This window comes from Homo sapiens, chromosome 3 (genome assembly GCF_000001405.40).
Source record: "Homo sapiens chromosome 3, GRCh38.p14 Primary Assembly".
Taxonomy (NCBI): domain Eukaryota; kingdom Metazoa; phylum Chordata; class Mammalia; order Primates; family Hominidae; genus Homo; species Homo sapiens.
In genome coordinates this window covers 22,048,344-22,062,321 of record NC_000003.12, presented here as the reverse complement: position 1 = coordinate 22,062,321, position 13,978 = coordinate 22,048,344, and the positions used below count along the sequence as shown (strand labels likewise).

The 13,978-nt window shown below is 38.4% G+C and overlaps 1 protein-coding gene across 8 annotated transcripts in view, besides 1 other annotated feature; it reads left to right on the top strand.

Annotated features, from left to right (window-relative positions):
- The window catches only part of ZNF385D (zinc finger protein 385D), a 960,546-nt gene that overhangs the window by 310,442 nt on the left and 636,126 nt on the right, over positions 1 to 13,978 (top strand). The gene's annotated exons all lie outside the window — the stretch shown is intronic.
- Positions 584 to 753: an enhancer, noted in NCBI's record as "experimental_68287 CRE fragment used in MPRA reporter constructs". NCBI's record gives its function as "activates a minimal promoter by MPRAs in K562 erythroleukemia cells, with activity observed for the introgressed 3:22103146 variant allele {active_cell/tissue: K562}" and the evidence as "EXISTENCE:reporter gene assay evidence [ECO:0000049][PMID:34662402]".

The following is a 13,978-nucleotide window of genomic DNA, read 5'->3' as shown; positions in this document are numbered from 1 at the left end:
GCCCTTTGGGAGGCTGAGGCGGGTGGATTGCTTGATCCCGAGAGTTTAAGTCCGCCTGGGTAACATGGCAAAATCCTGTCTCTACAAAATAAAAATAAAAATAAAAATAAATTAGGCATGGTGGCACTTGCCTGTAGTCCCGGGTAGTCCCAGCTATTTGGGAGGTTGAGGTGGGAGAATTGCTTGAGCTTAGGAGGTCGAGGCTGCAGGGAGGCATGATTATGCCACTGCACTCCAGCCTGGGCAACAGAACAAGACCTTGCCTCAAAAATAAATTAAAATTAAATGCAACAATAAGCATTTCCATGTTTAAAATTATTTTATTTACTAATGTATTCAGTGAATACTTATTGAATGCATGGTATTCACCAATACTGTTTTAGGTGCTGGGGATGAAGCAACCAACAAGACAGCTCAAAATATGCCTTCATACATCTTACACTTTAGTGGCAGAGACAATCAATAAACAAATAACTAGATGTGTAAAGAAAGGTAATCCAGATTGTGATGAGCGCTATGAATCAGGAAAAGGTAATAGCAGGTGGAGTGTGTGTGTACAGAGGCAGTGGTAGAGGGCAAAGGGAGAGGAAGGAAAGACATATTTTTGATGTGATGGTCATAGAAGGCCTCTTTGACAAGATAACACTTAATATATTCTAGAATCGACACTCATTGTATGGATGAACTGTTGAAAGAGAGTGACAAGAAATGGGGCTGGACATGTAATTGAGGATCAGATCCTGAGTCTTGGAGACCATAGGAATTGAAGACTTTGGAGTTATTGTGGGAGGCTTGAGAAGAAAAGAGTGACATAATCTGGTATACTTTTAAGAGTGAGATTCTAGCTGCTCTTGAGAGAATAAACTCTGTGGGGTAAACGTTTAAGCAGGACTTCCAGCAGGGATGTGGGTACAGTAATCTAGGGGTAACAATGTCTTAGAATAGGTGGAAGCAGGAAAAGTAGAAAGAAATGGGGGGACTAAAATACATTTGGACAGAAGAAAAGTAAATGAATAAGGAATAAACCCAAAGGATTTTGGCCTTATGATATTATTCAGTTAATATTTAAATGACTACTTTTCTTCATACTTTATGCTCACTGCTGAGATGTTTTCAGACTGTTTTGCCACAGAAGGAATTTCAGAAAACCAACTTACTTTGAGAGAATAATTCTTTGCAACTATTTAATTTAATTTAATTTAATTAATCAGGTGATTAAATTAACATTCTCCCTGTTACCCGAGCTCTAGTAATATTAATACTGCCCTCAGAGAATGAGAAATCAACAAACCTTTTAAATATCCATGATTATCAAGTTATTATACATTTATTTAACAGTTATTTAGTAAAAATGTCATTACTTAATTTTAATTTGATATGAAATTAACTTTATTATCAATTTAAAATTTTTTATAGATTTTTCTACTTAAGAGCCAAAATTGTCTGGTAATTGAATAATGAAGCAATTAGAACTAAACTGCAAAACTTTCTTTTTTAAATTAAAATTCACTGTTTATATTCAGAAACCCTTGCGTGGATGGCTTCTCTTATTAGACTTTCTTATTTTCTAGTTGAACAGTGCTAACCCAATAATAATCTATATTATATATCTTTAATTTTAATCATCTAAAACTTCATTTCCTCATGCTCTAAGATCACTAGTTTCCATGGCTGTTAACGTATTTTAAGTGAGATCTAAAATGAATTCATTGTTGAAATAAGTTTTGGAAATGTGAACAGAATTTCCCAGAACATTTAGTGCATTTTCAATTTCTAAAAAGGAAACATGCTTTACAAAATGAAAACTTATTGACAAAGTAATGGTTTAATTTCATCTTTGGAAAAAGTCCTCACTATGCTATTCCTGTCCCTTCATTATTACTTTATTCATTTAATTATGGAAAATAGAATATGTGTGGATGGTTGATTGAAATTCACTTTGAATTTAGTGTTAAACATTAATTTTTCAACAAATACTTATTGAGCACTGTGTTAGTCAGAGTTCTTTAGAGAAACAGAACCAATAGGGTATACAGAGATACACAGTATAAGAGGAGGATTTATTATGGGAATTGGCTCACATAATTATGAAGGCTGACAAGATCCAAAATCTGTCATCTGCAAGCTAGAGACTCAAGAAAGCCAGTCTTGTAATTTAGTCCAAATTTAAAAGGCTGGGAATTAGGGGAGTTAAGGGTGTAACTCCTAGTCTGAGGTCAAAGTTCTGAGAACTGGGCAAGGAAGGCTGTATAAATCCTGGAATTTGAAGGTCTGAGAACCAGTAGCTCCCAATGTTCAAAGGCAAGAAAGAGTAGATGTCTCAGCTCCAGTGGAGAAAGAGAAAAGTCACCCTCCCTTCACTTTTATCCAGGTCTATCTGGATCTTCAATGATTAGATGATGCCTGCCCACATTGGTGAAGGTGGATCTTCTTTATTCAGTCTACTGAGTCAAATGCTAATCTTCCAGAAACACCCACACAGTCACACCCAGAAATAATGTTTTACCAACTACCAGAGCATCCCTTAGCCCAGTCAACACAGAAAATTAACCCTCACAAGCATCTATTATGGGTGGTTAGGCCCTGGGGATACAGCAGCAAACAAAATCGAAAAATCTCTGCTCTTTGAAACTTATATGGGGTCTTCAAAGTAATGTGCTCCACATACCCATTGGAGAACTCAAAGGCATTCCAAGAAGCTGATGAAGGGTCTTAAGGGAATGTTTCCAGATTCACAACTTTGTATACATTCCACTCACCACCACCACCACCAACCCTATCACAAAGGACATTCTCTGGCTTTGCAAAAGAAAGATACGTCTGTCACTCATCGCTTATCTTATTTTGGGACAGTGTTTCCTAGAAGAAAATATTCTTAAAACCAACCACAAGGTTGGTGTTGATGTTAAGAAAGTGAATGACCCCAATTCTCTGGTTCTTGCTGCTGGCTGCAACATAGACTCACCTGGGAAGCTTTAGAAATGCCAACACCCAGACTACACACTTCTCCCTTTCATGCACACACAGTCCCTGTGGCCCTGTCTTCTTCTTCTTTTCCCTTTCTCTCTTTCCTCCCTTACCCACACACCTGTCACTGAATGAGAAGTCTTTAAATTAATGCTCAGTCCTGACCAGAGGGCAGTCACCTCCAATGATTACACAGGGTCCTTTTTAAAGAAATAACTCCTGATAGGTTAATTCTTGAGCCAAGTCAGCTCCACCTCCAGGAGTCCAGTGATTGCCCAGCTGCTTGGCCGCCCCAAACAATGTGTCCTACCAATGTCCTTTTCCTTTTCCTCAAATCAGACCTAGTAGGAGGTTTAGGGGTGATTGAAATTAATCTCCCTGAATTCGATTATATTCTTAGCTAGTAAATATTCCTGAAGATCATGTAAAGAGGAAAAGATTTGGATTAAGAGAAGACACCAAACTTCTTGCTATGGAGGTGGATAGTGGTCCCCACTAACCACCAGCCATTTCTAATCTGGGCAGCCCACAGGGCTTTAACCAAATATACAAAGCAAATTACAAATTATGGTTAAAATTTCAGACTGGCTTCCAAAAGTTAACATATAAATTTGAAATGGTATAGATTTGCAATAAAAAATGTTTTAGAGTACTTAAAATATTTTAAAATATAAACAAAACAAATGGTAATGTCCCATTTTTTCATTTAGGCATCAATAAATTATTTAAATATTAAAACTCTCAAGTTAGTTTATAATCCTGAAATTATTTGACAGCCCTCATTTTCCTGACTCTACCAAGATCTCATCTGCCTCTCATGTCCTTTGACCAGTTAGGAGTTGGAAACATTGCCTCACTTTGTGTGATAGCCATTATCCAGTTCTCTAAAGAGGCTATGAGTAAGTATAAAATGGGGAGAGCTGGAATGAGCAAACCCATATTCTCCAGTCCTTTTAAACAATAGGGTTCTATCCTGGCTTGAATCCTGGAGGCTTGGGTGTGAGGCAACTGTTGACAATAGGGGCGGCTTGTTGAATTAGCTAATATCAAATTCCCTTCTGTATATTTTTATTCTTCAATTAAGCAACATTGAGTTGACTCTATCATTTGAAGCAAAAAGTATTCTAATACAGTTTGCTTTTTTCAACAAGAAATCAAATTAGATGGTGCCATAAAGTTGAATTATCAACTTATGAGTTACCAATACTTTAAGGAACCACATATCTTTGGACCAGCATGAAATTCCTTTCTGCTGTCTGTCAGCTTGTGTAGCACAGCCTAGAAGGGTGTGTATAGCCAACAAGAATTGTTTTAGTTTGGTTGTGATGTATTCATTCATTCATTTATTCATTCACTTATTTTCCATTACTTTATTTGATTGAGATAAACAAGAATATGGCCTAAATGGCATGTTTGTCATAGTGAAACCATGAACTGTAATGATTTTCTCCATCAGTCTTTATTTCAATTTACCTATTTGTCCATTTACTGCTTCCAGGGTATGGAGGTCAGGAAAAGTAAATTGGGTTTTAAAAACGTGAGGCCGGGCACAGTGGCTCAAGCCTGTAATCCCAGCACTTTGGGAGGCCGAGGCAGGTGGATCACCTGAGGTCAGGAGTTCGAGACCAGCCTGACCAACATGGTGAAACCCCATCTCTAGGAAAAATAAGAAAATTAGCCGGATGTGGTGGTGTGCGCCTGCCTGTCGTTCCAGCTACTCGGGAGGTTGAGACAAGAGAATTGCTTCAACACAGGAGATGGAGGCTGCAGTGAGTTGAGATCACACCACAGCACTCCAGCCTGGGCAACAAAGTGAGACTCTGTCTCAAAAAAAAAAAAAATACTTTAAAAGAAAATAAATAAATAATGTTTTGGAGTAATTTGCATCTGCTTTTATCCAATTTAATTGCAGTATCAGTTGATATAGTAAAAGCATAATACCAATTTTCCTACTTCAAGTCCTTTCTAACACAGTTAATGTTAGCTAATGTTAATTTTTAATGTTAACTGCGTTCCAGGAACAGTGCTAGTCACTTTAAAATGATTATGTGATTTAATGCTTATAACCTATGAGGTATGGGTATTATTATTCTTGTAATTTCTATTTCATAAACAGATAAACTGAGGCTGAGAAAATTTAATTAACTTGCCCAAGGTTGTACAATAGTGAGTAGATTAGCTAGACTTTAAATCAGGTGTATGGGTTTCTAAAGCCTGAGTTTTAAACACAAATATCTTACACAGGGTCACGTAGCAACTGATCAGATGTGGTAGGTTAAATTATTAGTTTCAATATTTTGTTTATCTGTTTTACTTCTCACTTCTGACACAAATTCATGGAAAACGGAGTATATATTCCAACCTCTTCCCTTCAGACTTAGCCATGAGGCTGGCTGTGGCCAATGCAATTTTGGTGAAAATGATGTGATTAGAGACTTTATGATTGCATAATTACTTTCTTGTTCTGAGTGGTTACTAATCATTCAGCCTGGGCTCCACAATGAGACACATGGAGCTAATTTGAATTGAACCTGCAGCCTGTAGCCAAGGCCAGCCAAACAATCTGAGATCAACTGATTCCAATCTACCCTCAGACCTGTAAGCATGAGAATAAATGGCAATTGTTTTAATCCACTGAGTTTTTCTGTGGATTGTTACACAGCATTATTATGGCAATAGCTGATGTACACTGAACAATAGTTTTGAATTAAAACTGTCAAACTGCACCAGCTGAATTTGATTTGTAGAGTTCTTTTTGTTTTATTGTTTTGTTTTTTGGTCAGAACCATTTTTAAACTTTCTTTTCTGTTTAATTGGAATGGCTTTAGGAAGATGTACACCCTATAACGGGTCATGGATCCTAATACTCACTACAGTTTTATCTTGGGTATCTTTCACCTGGTGACATTCCCACCTAAATGATCCTTGATGGAATTTTAGCTTATCATCTTTGCCATGGTCTGTAATAGACAGCCCCTAAACTAACACACGGTTTATATTTTATCCCATTCTTACTGTACTCTCTAGGTATCTGTATCACATTGAATTTTTTTTTTTTTTTTTTTTTTTTTTTTTTTTTTATTATACTCTAAGTTTTAGGGTACATGTGCACATTGTGCAGGTTAGTTACATATGTATACATGTGCCATGCTGGTGCGCTGCACCCACTAATGTGTCATCTAGCATTAGGTATATCTCCCAATGCTATCCCTCCCCCCTCCCCCGACCCCACCACAGTCCCCAGAGTGTGATATTCCCCTTCCTGTGTCCATGTGATCTCATTGTTCAATTCCCACCTATGAGTGAGAATATGCGGTGTTTGGTTTTTTGTTCTTGCGATAGTTTACTGAGAATGATGGTTTCCAATTTCATCCATGTCCCTACAAAGGATATGAACTCATCATTTTTTATGGCTGCATAGTATTCCATGGTGTATATGTGCCACATTTTCTTAATCCAGTCTATCATTGTTGGACATTTGGGTTGGTTCCAAGTCTTTGCTATTGTGAATAGTGCCGCAATAAACATACGTGTGCATGTGTCTTTATAGCAGCATGATTTATACTCATTTGGGTATATACCCAGTAATGGGATGGCTGGGTCAAATGGTATTTCTAGTTCTAGATCCCTGAGGAATCGCCACACTGACTTCCACAATGGTTGAACTAGTTTACAGTCCCACCAACAGTGTAAAAGTGTTCCTATTTCTCCGCATCCTCTCCAGCACCTGTTGTTTCCTGACTTTTTAATGATTGCCATTCTAACTGGTGTGAGATGATATCTCATAGTGGTTTTGATTTGCATTTCTCTGATGGCCAGTGATGATGAGCATTTCTTCATGTGTTTTTTGGCTGCATAAATGTCTTCTTTTGAGAAGTGTCTGTTCATGTCCTTCGCCCACTTTTTGATGGGGTTGTTTGTTTTTTTCTTGTAAATTTGTTTGAGTTCATTGTAGATTCTGGATATTAGCCCTTTGTCAGATGAGTAGGTTGCAAAAATTTTCTCCCATGTTGTAGGTTGCCTGTTCACTCTGATGGTAGTTTCTTTTGCTGTGCAGAAGCTCTTTAGTTTAATTAGATCCCATTTGTCAATTTTGTCTTTTGTTGCCATTGCTTTTGGTGTTTTGGACATGAAGTCCTTGCCCACGCCTATGTCCTGAATGGTAATGCCTAGGTTTTCTTCTAGGGTTTTTATGGTTTTAGGTTTAACGTTTAAATCTTTAATCCATCTTGAATTGATTTTTGTATAAGGTGTAAGGAAGGGATCCAGTTTCAGCTTTCTACATATGGCTAGCCAGTTTTCCCAGCACCATTTATTAAATAGGGAATCCTTTCCCCATTGCTTGTTTTTCTCAGGTTTGTCAAAGATCAGATAGTTGTAGATATGCGGCATTATTTCTGAGGGCTCTGTTCTGTTCCATTGATCTATATCTCTGTTTTGGTACCAGTACCATGCTGTTTTGGTTACTGTAGCCTTGTAGTATAGTTTGAAGTCAGGTAGTGTGATGCCTCCAGCTTTGTTCTTTTGGCTTAGGATTGACTTGGCAATGCGGGCTCTTTTTTGGTTCCATATGAACTTTAAAGTAGTTTTTTCCAATTCTGTGAAGAAAGTCATTGGTAGCTTGATGGGGATGGCATTGAATCTGTAAATTACCTTGGGCAGTATGGCCATTTTCACGATATTGATTCTTCCTACCCATGAGCATGGAATGTTCTTCCATTTGTTTGTCTCCTCTTTTATTTCCTTGAGCAGTGGTTTGTAGTTCTCCTTGAAGAGGTCCTTCACATCCCTTGTAAGTTGGATTCCTAGGTATTTTATTCTCTTTGAAGCAATTGTGAATGGGAGTTCACCCATGATTTGGCTCTCTGTTTGTCTGTTGTTGGTGTATAAGAATGCTTGTGATTTTTGTACATTGATTTTGTATCCTGAGACTTTGCTGAAGTTGCTTATCAGCTTAAGGAGATTTTGGGCTGAGACGATGGGGTTTTCTAGATAAACAATCATGTCGTCTGCAAACAGGGACAATTTGACTTCCTCTTTTCCTAATTGAATACCCTTTATTTCCTTCTCCTGCCTGATTGCCCTGGCCAGAACTTCCAACACTATGTTGAATAGGAGCGGTGAGAGAGGGCATCCCTGTCTTGTGCCGGTTTTCAAAGGGAATGCTTCCAGTTTTTGCCCATTCAGTATGATATTGGCTGTGGGTTTGTCATAGATAGCTCTTATTATTTTGAAATACGTCCCATCAATACCTAATTTATTGAGAGTTTTTAGCATGAAGGGTTGTTGAATTTTGTCAAAGGCTTTTTCTGCATCTATTGAGATAATCATGTGGTTTTTGTCTTTGGCTCTGTTTATATGCTGGATTACATTTATTGATTTGCGTATATTGAACCAGCCTTGCATCCCAGGGATGAAGCCCACTTGATCATGGTGGATAAGCTTTTTGATGTGCTGCTGGATTCGGTTTGCCAGTATTTTATTGAGGATTTTTGCATCAATGTTCATCAAGGATATTGGTCTAAAATTCTCTTTTTTGGTTGTGTCTCTGCCTGGCTTTGGTATCAGAATGATGCTGGCCTCATAAAATGAGTTAGGGAGGATTCCCTCTTTTTCTATTGATTGGAATAGTTTCAGAAGGAATGGTACCAGTTCCTCCTTGTACCTCTGGTAGAATTCGGCTGTGAATCCATCTGGTCCTGGACTCTTTTTGGTTGGTAAACTATTGATTATTGCCACAATTTCAGAGCCTGTTATTGGTCGATTCAGAGATTCAACTTCTTCCTGGTTTAGTCTTGGGAGAGTGTATGTGTCGAGGAATGTATCCATTTCTTCTAGATTTTCTAGTTTATTTGCGTAGAGGTGTTTGTAGTATTCTCTGATGGTAGTTTGTATTTCTGTGGGATCGGTGGTGATATCCCCTTTATCATTTTTTATTGTGTCTATTTGATTCTTCTCTCTTTTTTTCTTTATTAGTCTTGCTAGCGGTCTATCAATTTTGTTGATCCTTTCAAAAAACCAGCTCCTGGATTCATTGATTTTTTGAAGGGTTTTTTGTGTCTCTATTTCCTTCAGTTCTGCTCTGATTTTAGTTATTTCTTGCCTTCTGCTAGCTTTTGAATGTGTTTGCTCTTGCTTTTCTAGTTCTTTTAATTGTGAGACTATATCCCACACCTGGCTCGGAGGGTCCTACGCCCACGGAATCTCGCTGATTGCTAGCACAGCAGTCTGAGATCAAACTGCAAGGCGGCAACGAGGCTGGGGGAGGGGCGCCCGCCATTGCCCAGGCTTGCTTAGGTAAACAAAGCAGCCGGGAAGCTCGAACTGGGTGGAGCCCACCACAGCTCAAGGAGGCCTGACTGCCTCTGTAGGCTCCACCTCTGGGGGCAGGGCACAGACAAACAAAAAGACAGCAGTAACCTCTGCAGACTTAAGTGTCCCTGTCTGACAGCTTTGAAGAGAGCAGTGGTTCTCCCAGCACGCAGCTGGAGATCTGAGAACGGGCAGACTGCCTCCTCAAGTGGGTCCCTGACTCCTGACCCCCGAGCAGCCTAACTGGGAGGCACCCCCCAGCAGGGGCACACTGACACCTCACACGGCAGGGTATTCCAACAGACCTGCAGCTGAGGGTCCTGTCTGTTAGAAGGAAAACTAACAACCAGAAAGGACATCTACACCGAAAACCCATCTGTACATCACCATCATCAAAGACCAAAAGTAGATAAAACCACAAAGATGGGGAAAAAACAGAACAGAAAAACTGGAAACTCTAAAACGCAGAGTGCCTCTCCTCCTCCAAAGGAACGCAGTTCCTCACCAGCAACAGAACAAAGCTGGATGGAGAATGATTTTGATGAGCTGAGAGAAGAAGGCTTCAGACGATCAAATTACTCTGAGCTACGGGAGGACATTCAAACCAAAGGCAAAGAAGTTGAAAACTTTGAAAAAAATTTAGAAGAATGTATAACTAGAATAACCAATACAGAGAAGTGCTTAAAGGAGCTGATGGAGCTGAAAACCAAGGCTCGAGAACTACGTGAAGAATGCAGAAGCCTCAGGAGCCGATGCGATCAACTGGAAGAAAGGGTATCAGCAATGGAAGATGAAATGAATGAAATGAAGCGAGAAGGGAAGTTTAGAGAAAAAAGAATAAAAAGAAATGAGCAAAGCCTCCAAGAAATATGGGACTATGTGAAAAGACCAAATCTACGTCTGATTGGTGTACCTGAAAGTGATGTGGAGAATGGAACCAAGTTGGAAAACACTCTGCAGGAGATTATCCAGGAGAACTTCCCCAATCTAGCAAGGCAGGCCAACGTTCAGATTCAGGAAATACAGAGAACGCCACAAAGATACTCCTCGAGAAGAGCAACTCCAAGACACATAATTGTCAGATTCACCAAAGTTGAAATGAAGGAAAAAATGTTAAGGGCAGCCAGAGAGAAAGGTCGGGTTACCCTCAAAGGAAAGCCCATCAGACTAACAGCGGATCTCTCGGCAGAAACCCTACAAGCCAGAAGAGAGTGGGGGCCAATATTCAACATTCTTAAAGAAAAGAATTTTCAACCCAGAATTTCATATCCAGCCAAACTAAGCTTCATAAGTGAAGGAGAAATAAAATACTTTATAGACAAGCAAATGTTGAGAGATTTTGTCACCACCAGGCCTGCCCTAAAAGAGCTCCTGAAGGAAGCGCTAAACATGGAAAGGAACAACCGGTACCAGCCGCTGCAAAATCATGCCAAAATGTAAAGACCATCGAGACTAGGAAGAAACTGCATCAACTAATGAGCAAAATCACCAGCTAACATCATAATGACAGGATCAAATTCACACATAACAATATTAACTTTAAATATAAATGGACTAAATTCTGCAATTAAAAGACACAGACTGGCAAGTTGGATAAAGAGTCAAGACCCATCAGTGTGCTGTATTCAGGAAACCCATCTCACGTGCAGAGACACACATAGGCTCAAAATAAAAGGATGGAGGAAGATCTACCAAGCCAATGGAAAACAAAAAAAGGCAGGGGTTGCAATCCTAGTCTCTGATAAAACAGACTTTAAACCAACAAAGATCAAAAGAGACAAAGAAGGCCATTACATAATGGTAAAGGGATCAATTCAACAAGAGGAGCTAACTATCCTAAATATTTATGCACCCAATACAGGAGCACCCAGATTCATAAAGCAAGTCCTCAGTGACCTACAAAGAGACTTAGACTCCCACACATTAATAATGGGAGACTTTAACACCCCACTGTCAACATTAGACAGATCAACGAGACAGAAAGTCAACAAGGATACCCAGGAATTGAACTCAGCTCTGCACCAAGCAGACCTAATAGACATCTACAGAACTCTCCACCCCAAATCAACAGAATATACATTTTTTTCAGCACCACACCACACCTATTCCAAAATTGACCACATAGTTGGAAGTAAAGCTCTCCTCAGCAAATGTAAAAGAACAGAAATTATAACACATTGAATTTTTAAGGGTCAGAAAAGTGAAGAGATTGTGAAAGTCAGGAACAGATATTCGTTATTTTTGATTGTTTAGTTTATTTAATATAAATATACAATTTTTAAACAAATACATAATACACAATGAATTAATATAATTTCAGAATCAGATAAAATCGGAGAAATTAACTCATTAAAAACTGCTGAGTTCATCTGGTAAAACATATGTGGCCTTTGGTCAATTCAATGATTTCATCAAAAGTTACATTTAGTCAGAAATTAAAACCTAGAAAACAATGTTCAATACATACAATCTACCAAAATTGAATCATGAAGAAATAGAAAATCTTAACAGACCAATAAAGAACAACCAAATTAAATCAATAATGAAACATTTCCTGTCAAAGGAAAGCCCAGGATCTGATGATTTTACAGCTTAATTCTACCAAACATTTTTTAAAATTTATGTGTGTGTGTTTTCTTGTTGTGGTGGTGGTTTTTTTGTTTGTTTGTTTGTTTGTTTTTTTGACAGAGTCTTGCTCTGTCACTCAGGCTGGAGTGCAATGGCACAATCATGCTTCACTGGAGCGTCAACCTCTGGGGCTCAAGCAGTCTTCCCACCCCAGCCTCCTGAGTAGCTGGGGCTATAAGCGTGTACCACCACAGAGAGCTGCTTTTTTTTTTTTTTAAACCCAATCTTCCTTTTTTGCCCAGGCTGGTCTCAAACTCCTGGGCTCAAACAATCCTCATGCGTTGGTCTCCCAAATTGTTGGGATCACAGGCATGAGCCACTGCACCCAGCCCCAAAACATTTTAACTAAACTAATACCAATCCTTCTCAAACTGCTCCAAAAAATTAAAGAGGAAACATTACGATGATACTAGCATTATCCTGATACCAAAGCCAGACAAGCATTTTACAAGGAAAGAAAACTATGGCCATTATTCCTGATAAACATAGATGCAAAATTCCTCAACAAAATATTAACAACCAAAATTCAGTAGCCTATTAAGAGAATAACTCACCATGATCAAGTGAGATTTATTACTAGGATGCAAAGATGGCTCAACATACACAAATCAGCAAATGCAATATACCACATTAACAGAATGAGGAACAAAAAATATATCATTTCAATGGATGCTGAAAATTGAGCATCTTGTCATGATAACAAATCTCAATAAATAAGGTATAGAAAGAATCTATTTCGACACAATAAAGGCCATATATGATAAGTCCACGGGTATTAATAACATCAAACTAAATTTTGAAAGCTTTTCCTCTAAGATTAGGAAGCAGGCAAAGATGTCCACTATTGGCACTTTTAATAAACATAGTACTAGAAGTTGTAGCTAGAGCCATTAGGCAAGATAAAGAAATAAAAGGCATCCGATGGGAAGGAAGGTGGAGGACATGGGTACACTTGTTTCTATTCATTTTTATTTGCACACAAAGAATCCGCCAAAAAAAAAGAACACCCTATTAGAACTAATAAACAACTACAGTAAAGTTGCAGGATAAATATCAACAAAAATTAACCGCATTTTTTATTTATTTTATTTTATTTTATTTTATTTTATTTTATTTTTGAGATTGAGTTTCGCTCTTGTTTCCCAGGCTGGAGTGCAGTGGCACAGTCTCGGCTCACTGCAACCTCTGCCTCCCAGGTTCAAGCGAATCTCCCATCTCAGCCTTCTGAGTAGCTGGATTACAGGTGCCCACCACCATGCCCAGCTAATTTTTGTATTTTTAGTAGAGATGGGGTTTCACCATGTTGGTCAGGGTGGTCTCAAACTCCTGACCTGAAATTATCCACCCACATAGGCCTCGCACAGTGCTGGGATTACAGGCCTGAGCCACTACGCCCGGCCAATTAACAGCATTTCTATACACTAACAATGAACTATCCAACAAAGAAAAAGTCAAGAAAATAGTCTGTAGACTAAAAATTATAAAACATGAATGAAAGAAATACAACAAGATACAGACAAATGAAAAGATATTCCATGTTCATGAATTGAAAGAATTAATAATTATTATTGTCCGTACTATCCAAAGTGATCTACTAATTCCATGCAATCACTATCAAAATTCCAATGACATTTTCCACTTAAATGGAAAAAACAATCCTAAAATTCACTTGGAATCACAAAAGACCCAGAATAGTTAAAGCAATCTTGAGCAAAAAGAACAAAGCCAAAGGCATCACATTACCTGATTTCAAAATTGACTGCAAAACTATAATAATCAAAACAACATGGTACTGTTACAAAAACAGACACATAGGCCAATAGAACACAATAAAGAGTCCAGAAATAAATTCATGTATTTGTTGTCAATTGATTTTCAACAAAGATGTCCAGAACACACAACAGGGAAGGGACAGTCCCTTCAACAAATCGGGCTGGGAAAACTTGACATTCACATGCAAAATAATAAAATTTAATCCTTATCTTGCACCCCATTGAAAAATCAACTCAAATGGATCAAAGACTTAAATATAAGACCTGGATCTATAAAACTGCTAGAGGAAAGCCCCATG